At 49.1% G+C, this 13,830-nt stretch overlaps 1 long non-coding RNA gene across 1 annotated transcript in view, besides 1 other annotated feature; it reads left to right on the plus strand.

The window, feature by feature from the left end:
- Positions 1-2,776: 2,776 nt before the first annotated feature.
- The window catches only part of LOC112268413 (uncharacterized), a 31,124-nt gene continuing 20,070 nt past the window's right edge, over positions 2,777-13,830 (plus strand). Inside the window, exon 1 of the long non-coding RNA XR_002959381.2 lies at positions 2,777-2,814. This is a non-coding gene — a long non-coding RNA (uncharacterized LOC112268413). The remainder of the gene's footprint in view (positions 2,815-13,830) is intronic.
- Positions 7,295-8,094: an enhancer, noted in NCBI's record as "H3K4me1 hESC enhancer chr2:43172691-43173490 (GRCh37/hg19 assembly coordinates)". NCBI's record gives its function as "activates a minimal SCP1, AML or CMV promoter by ChIP-STARR-seq in primed H9 embryonic stem cells {active_cell/tissue: H9 hESC(primed)}" and the evidence as "EXISTENCE:reporter gene assay evidence [ECO:0000049][PMID:30033119]".

A 13,830-nucleotide genomic window follows, 5' to 3' on the forward strand; every position in this document is an offset into this window, starting at 1 on the left:
ATCCCAAAGCCAGGCCCAGAGTGTGTTTCTTCCCAACTTAAAAACCCTTGGCCGGATGTGGTGGCTCATGCCTGTAATCCCAGCACTTTGGGAGGCCGAGGTGGGTGGATCAACTGAGGTCAGGAGTTTGAGACCAGCCTGGCCAATGTGGTGAAACCTTGTGTCTCCTAAAAATACAAAAAATTGGCCGGGTGTGGTGGTGGGTGTCTGTAATCCCAGCTACTTGGGAGGCTGAGGCAGGAGAATCGCTTGAACCTGGGAGGCGGAGGTTGCAGTGAGCCGAGATTATGCCACTGCAGTCCAGCCTGCAGTGCTGCAGGCGAAAGAGCGAGACTCTGTCTCAAAAAAAAAAGAAAAACCGAAAAACCCCCCCAAAAAACCCTTGAGGGCTCCCCGTTGCCTCCAAAGTAAGGCCCAAACTTGTTATACAGATTCACAGTCCCCTCCTTGAATCAGCTCCCAAACTTGCTCTCCAGCATGGTGGCCCCCTCTTGCTCCTGTGAACCTGTGTTGCAGCTGTTCCAGATTCCATGTCATCCCCAGCCCCACAAAGTCAGCCTTGTGCTTACTGACTCCATGGTGTGGCTTTCTCATGCCTCCTGCTTGGTATGGACAGTCCTGTCTCTGCCCATCACATTCCTACCCTTCGTTCAAGACCCAGACACCAAATGCTCAAACCCACATGGTGATTAAGAGCATGGAATCTACAACCAGATTGACCAGGTACAAGACCCAGTTCTATTTCCTCTAGAGTTTGACCTTTTGAGAAAGTTTTGTAACCCTTCTTTGCCTAGCTTTACTCATCTGTAAAAGGAAGACAATAGTAGTAGCAACTGCTTCATTGGATATTGTGAAGATTAAGTGAGGCTACGTGTAAAGCACTTGAGACAGCGTCCAGCTTGTGGTCTGCACTGTATGTCAGCTGTAATACCCCAGATTATGAAGCCTCTGCTGATCCTTCTGAAGGCTACTCTGGGCCACATCAATCTCTCTCTTTCCTCCATACCTCAAGAATTTTCCTTGACACCAGTAGCAATCTGTACCATATCTGCCTGGTTGTGAAGTTAGGATTCTTTGATGGCAATTGGACAATTGTTCAAAACCCACTGGATCAAACGAAGGGATTTTTTTTTTTTCTTTTAGAGACAGGGTCTATCTTGCCTAGGCTGGTCTCAAGCGATCCTCCCACCTTGGCCTCTCAAAATGCTGGGATTAGTGGCATGAGCCACCACGCCCAGCCCAAACAAGGGGATTCTTATCACAAGCGTGTGAATGGGCCTTGCAGCGTCCCAGGGCAGGAATGCACAGCACCTCAGGAAACCCTGGCACTGGCGTCTGGAAATACTGCTTGGGTAGGGTTCTCTCTCTGAACATTCATTTAATTATTCTCTCTGTAGACTGTGGCCTTGCAGACTTGGCTGGAATCCACTGTTTATGGTACTCAAGGGTACACGCCACAGTCTGACATGGAAAGATGGAATCTCCTCCTTCATCCCAGTTCAGCCCTGACCAGCCTCTCTAGGGGCAGGGGCAAAGGGAAGGGTCATGTTATACAGAATTATTGCTGAGGGTGTCTCACTTTGGGTGAAAGGGTGCATTTAGAGGGGTCCATGCCAGAGACTACAAATTGGTCCCCAGGATTTATTTCCCCATCTTTCTCAGTTATAGAACTCCCGGGTTTTTGCTGTCCTAAATAAAGACTGCATTTCCCAGCCTTCCTGGCAGTTGGAAGGGGCACGTGATTAGGTTCTGGCCAAAGCGACATTAAAGGGAGGAGAATGCCTTTCTTTGCTTCCTCTGGCTAGATGGACTCTGGAGCCAGGCTGGCGGAGTTCAAATCCTAGTCCTGCCACCTATGAGTTGTGTGACTTTGGACAAGTACCTAACCCTTTTGTGCCAGTTTCCTTTGCAGTAAAATGGGAATAAAAAGAAAATCTACGTAACAGTAGATATTCTGTGAGGATTACGTGAATTCATATTTGAAGAGTGAGTAGAAGGGTTCCTGGCACAAGCTCTACAAGTGTGGCTGGAATGAATATGATGATGAGGATGAAGATGAGGATGGCGGGGCTGGAGCTCAAGTGCCATACTGTGTCCTGGAGCAGAAGCCACGTGTTGAGGACAGTCTGGACCCTTAACGAGGGTTGAGCCACGACACCAGCCTGTGACTGTTTACCTCTTGAGTTTGTTTACAGGAGAAGAAAATAAACTCTCACCTTGTTTAACACACCATCCTGTTGGCTTTTCAGTTTGCTTGTAGCCCGATCTAATCCTAACTGATACAGGAACATTGTAGGTTCAACTCACATCCCTGTCCCCTGCACCATGTTGTCGCTCTTTAAGATAATGTCTCACTGTTCCTACTTGGGTTGTACATTCCTTGAGGACGGAAAAGCTTCCCACTCACAGTAGGTGCCCAGAAAGTAAGTATCGAATTAATGGAAGAACAATGTGAAAATCATTCTGGTTAGGTAGACAAGGAATTCTTTGGCTAGTTGCAGAAAATCAGTGATAGTAATAACAAAATTTATCAAGCATAATGGCTGGCGTGCTTTTTTTTTTTTTTTTTCCAAGTCAGAGTCTTGCTCTGTTGCCCAAGCTGGAGGGCAGTGATGTGATCACATCTCACTGCACCCTTGACCTCCTGCCTCAAATGATCCCTCCATCTCAGCCTCCTGTGCACCAGCACACCCAGCTAATTTTTAAATTTTTTTTTTGTAGGGATGAGGTCTTACTATATTGCCCAGTCTGGTCTTGAACTTCTGGACTCAATTGATCCTCCTGCCTCAGCCTTCCAAAGTGTTGGGATGACAGGTATGAGCCACTATGCCCAGTCCCTGGCATTCCAAGTACTTCAAGTGTATTTTATAGTTCAGCTCTCATGACAATCCTATGAAATAAATACAGTTGGCCCTCTACACCTGTGGGCTCTGCATCGATGGATTCAACCAACCATGGATTGATAATACCCTATTTGAGAAAAAAAAAAGATAGTCCCATCTGTGATGAACATGAACAGACTTTTTTTTCCTTGTCATCCCCTAAACAATACAGTATAACAGCTATGTATATAGCATTTACATTGCAGGAAGTATAAGTGATCTAGAGATGATTTAAAATATAGGGAGGATGTGTGTAGGTTATATGCAAATACTACACCATTTTATATCAGGGACTTGAGTACCGTCACATTTTGGTATCCTTGGGGGAGTGAGGGTCCTAGAACCAATCCCCCACGGACACCAAAGAATGACTGTACTCTCATCAGTTCCATTTTACAAATAAGGGAACTGGGCTTCAGAGAGATGGAGGTCAAGGTCATAGATGCAGCCAGTGGAGCCTGGCTTCAGAGCCCAGCACCTTCACAATTTTGCTGTGAAACCTTCTCAAGGGCTTTTCTCTGATGGGAGCTTTGGAAAGGAGAGGCTGTACAAGTCAACAAGAACACAGCGCGTCAGAGTGACCTTGCTTCTCTCTTGATTTTGGAGATTTGTTTGGAGGGCTGAACTTCAGGGAAACAAAGTGAAATGTCAGGGTTTTCCTGAGGTCAATGGGGGTAAAGACCCAAATGGATTATGAAGCCTTCCCTGACCCCCTAGTCCACACTGACCTCCCCTGTCTTCTCTGTACTTGCATAGCCTGTCTGTTGACATGGCTAGCAGCTGGCCATACTGGCTAATCTCCGGCAAAAATTGTGACATTGGCAGAGTTTGTCTTCATTCCTCTCCTATCTGCCTGTTATTTGATTTTCAGCCTCTTATGTCCTGTTTGGGCCCTCACATGTTCTCTCAGCAAGGAAAGCTTCATTCTGAAAGATGAAAATAGAGAACACAAAACTTAATTCCCCAAAATGAATATTTAATGGTGGGATTTTAAGCAGCAGAGATTTGGGAGTTGAGGAACTTGCTGTCTCTCTAATCATCTCGTTCTTCCCCTTCCCCTCTCCCTCCCCTTCCTCTTCCTCCTCCTGGTGTCTTTTTATGATTATTATTTAACCACTTCACACTCCCCACTTCACACTCCCATCTATTAGTCTGGATGGCCCACTTCCAGTCCTACATGGTCCCACTCGCATGGGTCACCCTGGTCACCCTGGGCTCAGGACCCCCCTGGCACTTACACTCCAGGCTGCACAGCCCCCTGCCTCCACAACCCCCTGCCTCCATGTGCACACTGCCAGTCCCCGGAACACTGCTTATGTCTTTGGTTTTGTTAAACTGTTTGTTCTGAGAGGACAAAGACCACATCTAATGACCAGGGATGTGGTTGCAGGAATTTTTACTTCAAAAGGCATGTTGGTCTCCATGGCCTCTCAAAGCTCCTACACCCTGAGCCTTAAAGCTTCTCAGCTCTTCCCCTCGTTCTCCCCATTGTGCCTGCTTCTGGATTGGGTAGAAGAGAGGTGCTTAGGAAGGATGTATTGAGCTGCTGTCTAACTCTTTCTGTAAGCAAGGGCACAGGCCCCTGAGACAATGGTGGAAAAGCTCTCCTGTTTTCAAAAGTCCCTCAACGTGCAGGCCCCTTGGAGGCAAAGCACCTTCAGGATTTTAGAATCAGAGTTTTTTCTGGGCCGCAGGACAACCTGCTCTGGCACTCGCTCTGGCCTGGCCATCTCTGGGCTCCTCTTGGTCAGTATCTGGGCAGCCTTTTAGAGGGCCTGGAAACCACAGCTAGCCCTTCCCAGAATGACTCGACATCCAACGTGGACTCAATTCCAGTCCCCCTTGGCTCCAGGAGGCCCGTCCCACAGGACAAGGCCAGGGCCACAGAGGTCCCAGATTTTCTCAGATTCACTGCTGACCAGGGGCAGCCATGCCAGAAATTCTGCAAAATGCCAAGCACAAGCACTCTCAAGCGGTGGCTTCATAGTTCCCACAACCTCATCTACCATACTCCATAATGTCTAGGTGGAGTGAGTTCATCTCAGACGGGAACACATTTTTCCTCCTGTGACTTCTCCCCTGACTCAAGTCTACAACCACCAGGAAACTGCTTGGGACAAGGCTGGGGCAAGGAGGCAGGGCCCGTGGAGTTGGGACCAGGGCAGAGCACCCTGCCCCGTGGAGCCTAGATCCTTGGCCCCAGCACCCCTAGAAAACATGGCTCCTCGGGCGCGGTGGCTCATGCCTGTGGTCCCATCACTTTGGGATGCCAAGGCGGGTGGATGACCTGAGGTCGGGAGTTCGAGACCAGCCTGACCAACGTGGAGAAACCCCGTCTCTACTAAAAATACAAAATTAGCTGGGCATTGTGGTGCATGCCTGTAATCCCAGCTACTCAGGAGGCTGAGGCAGGAGAATAGCTTGAACCTGGGAGGCGGAGGTTATGGTGAGCCGAGATCACGCCATTGCACTGCAGCCTGGGCAACAAGACTGAAACTCCATCTCGAAAAAATAAAAGTTAAAATAAATAAAAATAAAAATTTTTGAAAACCTGGCTCCTCAAGGAGCCACATTCTAGACAGAGCTGGAGAAGTTGATGGGGCTTGGGTTTAAGTTTGCATTGTGACCTAGGCACCCTAGGAGATGGCACCCATGTGCCCAGAGCTCAGACAGGACTTTTCTGTCTGCCTCCCTCACCCAACACTTTGCAGCATTGGGTAGACTGAATAGAGTTGTGACTGTAGACACAGGAGACTCAATAACCATTTCTTCACATCTGCTTGAGACCATCTGGCCTTTGCATCTTGCCAGGCATGAGTTATTCCTCTCTTAACCCATGGAATCCATTGCCTGGCACGGCTTCCACGCCCTTGCACCATCCACATCCTCCCGTCCACATCCCCCCGTTCTCCAAGGTGGGCTCCATCCTACCTTCACCTCCTTCATTCCCTACCCTGGAGCCCTCAGGGACCTCCTTTTATCCCTTAAGCTCTTAACTCTCAACGTCTGCACCACTCTCATGTGGTAGTAATCCCCATTCAACATGTAACATTGTTTATCATCTCAGGTGGCTATGAAGGGCTTTGTATGTGCCTCTTCTATCCCCAAGCACACTCTATTTTTTTATTTAGTTATCATTATTTTTCTGAGACACAGTTTCAATCTGTCACCCAGGCTGGAGTGCAATGGCAGGATCTTGGCTCACTGCAACCTCCGCCTACCAGGTTCAAGAGATTCTTGTGCCTCAGCCTCCTGAGTAGCTGGGATTACAGGCATCCACCCCCATGCCTGGTTAAATTTTGTAATATTAGTAGAGACTGGGTTTCACCATGTTGGCCACGCTGGTCTGGAACTCCTGACCTCAAGTGATCCAACGGCCTTGGCCTCCCAAAGTGCTGGGATTACAGGTGTGAGCCCCTGCGCCCAGCCCCTTTAAACCATAGTTTAAACCAGCATACTTTAAACCAGCTCTGTTCAGTAGACTTCTAATGTGAACTACTTATGTACTTTAGAATTTTTCAGCAGTCACATTTAAAAGTACCAAAAAGAGACAAAATGAGTTTTAATACATTTTATTTAACCCAATATATCATAAAAGGTTATCATTCCAATATGGGAGTAATATAAAAATTATTAGTTAGACATTTTACATTTTCTTGTACAAAGTCTTCGAAGTCTGGTGTGCAGTTTATAGAAAGCTCTTCATCTGATTTAGATTTAATAATGACCTCTCCTTCTCTTCCACCTGCCCAATACCAAGCCAGAAAAGATGTAGCCCCACAAGCAGGGCATTCTGGGAATTGTAGTTCCTAGCTTCTCTCAGAGCCACAGAGAAGACCTTGGAAAGGGATAGTGGTGATGAATTGACCACAGACAATCCGGCCCATTATTCCACTGGGCAAGTGCTCCTAGAAGTACATAGGAGCCAGTTGCCAGGTTGGAGGAACAGCAAGGCTGCACAGGGAGGGAGGGCAGTGGGCACGGCAGGGGACCCTGAGCGAGCTGACTCCCAGGGGCAGAGGGAAGAGGAGCCTCTGGTGGGGGTAGGAGAATAAGAGATGGAAGGGCACGGAAGGAGGAAAAAGGTGGGTCTCTGTGAGTCCCTACCGCATTCTGGACATACAGGTGCTCTAGTGTCATGAGGCGGCCAGGCCCGCATTTCAGTGACCCCCACATTGGGGCGGGGCGAGGCTCACAGGTGTCACTCCCCCTGACTCTGGGTGCTAAGAGGAGCTGGGGCAAGGTGGTTGCCCCCAAGGCCTCAGATACTCTACTTCAGTGCTTCAGTGTGGGTGGACTCAGAAGCCGTAGGGACCCCACCCCTCCAGAAGGCTTCCCAAGCAACTCTCCTGTCAGCCTGGACTCCTGACTTCGATGCTTGTTCGCACATGCATGGCCACAGCTCGTTTGCTGTGCTGCACGGGGCATGCCCCCACTCACAAGGAGCCCTTCGGGGTCAGAGCCCAAACTATCTTCTAAATCCCACAGCATCTTGGAAGGTGCCCTACACATCTGTGCTGAAGGGAGCTGGGGTGGAGGCCAGGAAGAAAGGTTTGCAGGCATCGGCAGAGCCACTGAAGCTGCTCCTGTCACCAACAACCAAAGCTCTGAAAGAAAGGGGAGAAGTCCCTCCGGGGCCCCTTCCTTCATGCCCTGAGCAGCCAACCTGGCTCATACAGACCTCAGAGACCCAAGAGACATCAGAGATTAGCCAGAGCCAGTCCTTAGGCTTTCGAAAGGAGCAGCACAAACACACATAGGTGTGGGGGCATGAGGGGGGAGGAGGTGGTGGTGCTCCTGGCTGCAAGACACTAAGAGCACGGGGCCACACTGCTGGTGCTCAGCCCCAGCAGGGGCAAGGCTCAAGAGGGAAGCTGGAGTGTCCTCTTGGAGAGACCCCCACTGAATTAGATCACCTGCCTATTAATGAGGAGACCCCCTGACTGAGGACGCCAGCCTCTGACCAGTGGCTGAAACCCGTCTTCTAGGCATTAATCCAGAAGTTAGATGTACCATGAACCTTCTGGTCTTTCTTAAGAATCGTGGGATTTTTGGCCAGGCGCGGTGGCTCACGCCTGTAATGCCAACATTTTGGGAGGCCGAGGCTGGTGGATCACGCGGTCAGGAGATCGAGACCATCCTGGCTAACACGGTGAAACCCCCTTCTCTACTAAAAAACACAAAAAATTAGCTGGGCTTTGGTGGCTGGTGCCTGTAGTCCCAGCTACTTGGGATGCTGAGGCAGGAGAATGGCGTGAACCCAGGAGGCGGAGCTTGCAGTGAGCCGAGATCGCGCCACTGCACTCCAGCCTGGGCGACAAGAGTGAGACTGTCTCAAAAAAAAAAAAAAAAAAAAAAAAAAAAAGAATTGTGGGATTTTAGGGCTAGGCTGAGTTATGGTCTGAAGCTCACCTAGTCCAAGGCTGTCACCTCGCAGATAAGGAGACCAAAGCAAACGTGGAGTGAAGCTGGAGGTGGGCCTGGTCTCCTCCACAGAGGCCTTTCCTTCTTCCCCACCCTCCCCTTGGTCCTCCCTACTAGCCCCCACCATACGTTCTCTCTTTCATCCTCTCTCAGGGCTGGAATCTTTTCCCTGATAGCCCATCTTCTAAGACACAGCGGTCCCCAGATGTTACTTGAGCAGAAACAGAGCAAGCGCGGAGTGCCTGATGCCTCTGAGAACCTAATGAATGGCTCAGATGTCACGTGGCGATCTGGAGGGGAACACACATAGGACAGAAAACCAGACCCCACGGGACTGTTGAGCCCTCCAGAGTCAGACCGTGGTGTCTGAAGCAATGAAATAGGGTTAATTTGGCAAGGCTTGTCCCTGGGCACAGTTTCCCTCCCCGGCTCCAGTTTGTGCTTGCAATTCAAGTTTCTGGCACCAGATGGCAGCGTTGCTCTGTTATGAATGACTTGATGGAACAGTTTTAAAAGTCATTCATTCATTCATTCCACAAGTATTTACTGAGTGCTTTCAATGTGCCAAGCCCTTTTCTAAGTTCTTGGGATAGAGCAGTGAACTAAACACAAAAATCTGTGCCTCCTGGGAGCTTCATTCTCATGCAGGAAGACAATGAATAGATGAGAAAAACATTTGGCGCGTCAGATGATAGGTGCTATGGAGAAAAAAAATAAAGCAGATAGGGATGAAAGGAGGGCTGGAATAGGGGCATTGTGAAGTTAAAGGGGAGGTCAGAGATAATAAGATCAGGGAAACAGAGCTGCGCAGAGCAATGGAGGCTCTAGGCAGTGGGCGAAGCAGAGAATGTTTACATGGGAAGGGGCTTTAGAGGTGGCTTTGTTACATTTGACAGTTGGGGACACTGAGGCCCAGAGAGCTCAGTCTCAGCTGAAAAATCTGCCTCAATTGAAATGACCTGCCCAAGTGAAAAATCTGGAGGCAGGCAGCCTAGAGTTTCAGGTCCACCACATCCTACCCCGCTGCCCCTGCCACCTCCTAAACCCACCTCAGTCCTCCCGCAATGCAGCAGGACTAGGAACTCACCAAACTCTGTTTGCTTTTCTTTCTGGACACATTTTCTAGCCTGCCTTGCTATTACCATGTGCAGCTACCAAGTTCTGGCCAATGGCTATTGGGCAGGAGTAAGGTACATCTATTCCAGGCCTGGCCTCCAACAGTTCCTGTATCATCTTCCACGTACCACCTCCACTCCTTCCCCATCAGTGCAACTACAAGCACAAGACTCCAGAACTCTAGGGAATGAGGATGTTGCTAAAATAAGGGGGCCCTCTATGACTGCATGGAGATGAATACCCCATCACCATGCTTTGGACTGTGGTGTGACTGAGTTTGGTATGTTGAGCTATTGGGAGGTGGGGGTTGTTTGTTACAGCAGCTTTCTTACCCTAACTAATACACCCACCATCACTGAACCCAACTGAATGCATAGCCCGCCCAGCCTCAGCTCCCAACACTATATGGAGGACATCTGATGCTTCTGCCAACCCTTTCTCTCTTTGCCTGCTCTGAAGCCCATGTAGTCCAATGCCATTACCTCACAGATAAGGAAACCAAAGCAAATATAGCTGGTCATAGCTCCCTTTATATTCCAGGAGCCAAACCAGTTCTTGGTGAAGTTCTTTCTTATGATGCCTCTCCACCATCACCCAGAGCTGGGCACATGACCCAGGTGGTCATTCTGAGCACACAGTCCTCCCGGCCAAGTGACTGGTTCAGGGATAGACACATCATGCAATCAGAGTCTTGCTTAAGATTCAAGCTATAGATGCTGGAAAGAGGATCTGTCTTCCTCTGAGATGCTGAGTGATGACCAAGAGAGTTGGAAGCTGCTGGAGCCATTGCCCAAGGATATGAGGAAGAAGCTGTTGGGGGAATGAAACTAACATGTAAAGGTGGCCATAGAGCTGGAGAGAAAATCATACTCCACCATATTGTTGTTCCAATCTTGCCTGAAGTCAGGTCTTCCTTCAATTTCCCCAGTTACAAGGGCCAGTTAATTATCTTTTTTTTTGTGAGACGGAGTCTCACTCTGTCACCCAGGCTGGAGTGCAGTGGTGTGACCTCGGCTCACTGCAACCTCTGCCTCCCGGGTTCACGCCATTCTCCTGCCTCAGCCTCCCAAGTAGCTGGGACTGCAGGTGCCCACCACCACACCCGGCTAATTTTTGTATTTTTAGTAGAGATGGGGTTTCACCGTGTTAGCCAGCATGGTCTCGATCTCCTGACCTCGTGATCCGCCCGCCTCGGCCTCACAAAGTGCTGGGATTACAGACGTGAGCCACCACACCCGGCCAATTATCTTTTTAAAAATTTTGATTCAGTTTGAATTTCTGTCACTTAGAGCACAAAGAGTTCTGATTAATAATTATTGGACTAATATTTACTGAGCCCTACTGTGAGCCAAAAAACTGGGATAAAATAGTGAGCAAATTAGACACCAGCCCCTAGGATCCCCTGTCCACCATATACAGATATATGTGACAGGTAGGTTTGATGCCAATGAGAAGTTGTTGAGAAGTCGGGTCTCATTTTTCCACTTTCTAGGTTGCTGGCTTATCAAGATAAAGGAAGAAATATTTGCTTTTTCCTTTACCCTTCTGGAGCACCTGGCCTTTGAGTTCTTGAGGTTTGAGATTTCCTTATCACGAGGAGGAAAGTAACAGTCTCTGGTCTGTGTTTCCGGCTGAATGGAGAAGTTGCCAGGCCAGGTGGGCTGCCCCTGTGATTTGAAAGGCCTACGCCCCTTAGGAGGTGGTAAACAAAGTGTCAGTCAGATTTGGCCAGGGGAGGGCCATGGCCTTCAGGGCTTGTGAGGCTCTTTGGACTGAAGGCGAGAGGTGTTAGGGGTTTTGCAGGGGCCCCAGAGATCCGCCCCCATCAAGTGCTGCAGTGGCAGGGCCCTGGATGTTGGTGGGGGCTGCCCTGTGCCTTGGAGAACTGCGCCCAGATGCCCAGTCTCAGGAACCTTGAGCAATGCCCCCCAGGTCAAGCCTGCCTCAAAGTTGCCCTAATCCCTCTACTGTCTCGTGGGCAGCACTGGGGACAACCATGGTTGACAGTTAAGTCCCTACTATGTTAAAAACACATGTTTTCATGGGTGGGGCAAACTCTGGGGTCTTTCTGCATCACCTTCTGCATCAACTTTCTATAACTTTGACAAAGGAGGGTTTTAGCCAGATGCAACTTAATGTGGAACATTTAAGAAATGTAACATTTCTTGAATCCTAAATTTTGTGGCATGATATCATTTGTAATATATTTAATTACAAATTGTTGCAAACTATGAGGGGAAGTGACTGGGCTCCATGAATCCATATAACAGGAGGATCTGATCAATTCAGGGGCATAAATATATTTTGCTCAGAGGGACTAGCTCTAGAAAACCTCCTAGGATGCATTTAGGCTTCAGTGAAATGGAGTTTAGTTCCTGAAATTTGTTTTTTACCAAGACAAATGGTAACAATCGCTTAGTTACGTGCAATTGCTTTAGGCTCTCTTGAGCCTCGTTGTTCAACATCCCAGAGGAAGACAGACCCCCTCCAGCATCCACAGACAAAATTTAAAGCAAGACTCTGGTTGGTATCATCAGGTCACATGTCCCTCTCTGAACCAACCAAGCCAAGAGGATTGTGTACTTGGAATGGCCAGCCTAGATCACTTTATTCAATCCCCACAACCACCTCCTGGGGTAAATATCATTAGCCCTCATTTTACAGATGAACAACTGATGTGGAAATAGGTTCATTTACTCCTCCAAAGTTGTGATGGACAACCTCACCAAAGTTATCTCTTCACAACCTGAGACTGGGTTGTGGGAGTGGGGATGGAAAAGATTCTGAGAAAGACTTTTCATCTCTGATCAAATAAGAAAAGCACATAAAGAGAGCTCTTGCCACATTGACCATCACCCTACATCCTGACTTTGGAAGGAGATTTAAGAAGATGTGATATCTGGAACTGTGGCAGCCATCTTGAGACCATATGGGGATGAGGGAGAGAATTTAGAGGCATTGGCATCTTGGAGTTGCAAAGCCAACTTGAGAATTGCCTGCCTCTAGACTTTTTTTTTTTTTTTTGAGACTGAGTCTTGCTCTGTAGCCCAGGTTGGAATGCAGTGGCGCGATCTCTGCTCACTGCAAGCTCCGCCTCCCGAGTTCATGCCATTCTCCTGCCTCAGCCTCCTGAGTAGCTGGGACTAGCCTGCCTCTAGACTTCTTAGTAGGCAACCACTTTTATATTGTTTAAGTCCCTGTTAGCTGAAGTTTCTGTTACTTCCAGAAAGACTCATAGGCTCTGTTAGAGGCCCTTTGAGGGTTGGTGGGCTGGCATCATCCTTAGAGTATACGTGGGACCTAGAGAGGGTAAGGACTTGCCTGAGGTGTCCTGATGTGGAAGAATGTGCTCTCTCAGGGGGTGACTGAGCGAGGGGGGTAGGTGGTTAGGACAGGGGAACCCCTGGGGCAGGGTGGGACAGTCTGGGATACCAGGAGAGGAGCAGCGAGCCCAGCAAGTGTCTCAGCAGGAGGAAGCCTGCAGGCCTGGAGTTGGAGAAGGCACAGGGAAGGTTTGGAGGGACTTTGCCCAGAAGCATGCATGCAAACTTGCAGGTGAAACAACAAAGGCAGACCCCTTCCAGCAGTGACTTCCCGTGGCTGTGCTACAGAGAGCCTGCAGGAAGGAAGGAAAGGCAGTGGCTGGGATTCAACTGTGACTACAAGGACCTAAATTTAGATCAGACATCCAGGAAGACACCAGGAAACCCGCTAATGATGATCTCTCACTCCATGCAATGCTTTGTCCTGTGCAGGCACATCCAGCCACAGTTTCTCATTTGACCCCTGAATAGTCCTTTGTGGAAAGCCAGGGTGAGAACATCAACAATGGCACAAAATCATGTGATGGAGTAAGGGTGAGAACCTGGTCCCATGAGCCCCAGTCCCATGAGGTCTCTCTCAGCCATCTCTCTGGACCAGCTGCAGTGCCGGCTTTCTGGCGGGGAAAACGTGGCCTGGATTTGTAGCACTTGCTGATTTCCATGGTGTAAATACTCCCACTGTGGCTGATTTTGTCAATGTTTAAACAACTTTCTTGAAAAATTACTGGCATTTAACAATGGCTCTTGGAGCTGGTATGAATTTGCTCCAGCACACATTAGGCCCTGCCAGCCACGTACTCGCATCCAGTGTCCTGGCCCCCTGCCCTGTTCTCACATCCAATGTCTTGGTTAAGGCCCATGGGCCTGTCTCTCTCCTGACCTGACCCTGGCTTAGTGTTTTGGCTTTTGGCCCCATAACCTGAAGCCATCACGTGTCCCTAGTTTGCTACCTCTGCTCCCCGGAGTCCTGACTCCTACATTCCTGCCTCTGGTCCCTCTTAGTGTCCTGCTGGGTGAGACCCACTCCCTCCTACCTCAGCCATGGCTGCCTCTGGCCATTGCCTGCCTCCCTGGAAGGGCTCCAA

The sequence above is a fragment of the Homo sapiens genome, chromosome 2 (assembly GCF_000001405.40).
Source record: "Homo sapiens chromosome 2, GRCh38.p14 Primary Assembly".
NCBI classification, from domain to species: Eukaryota; Metazoa; Chordata; class Mammalia; order Primates; family Hominidae; genus Homo; species Homo sapiens.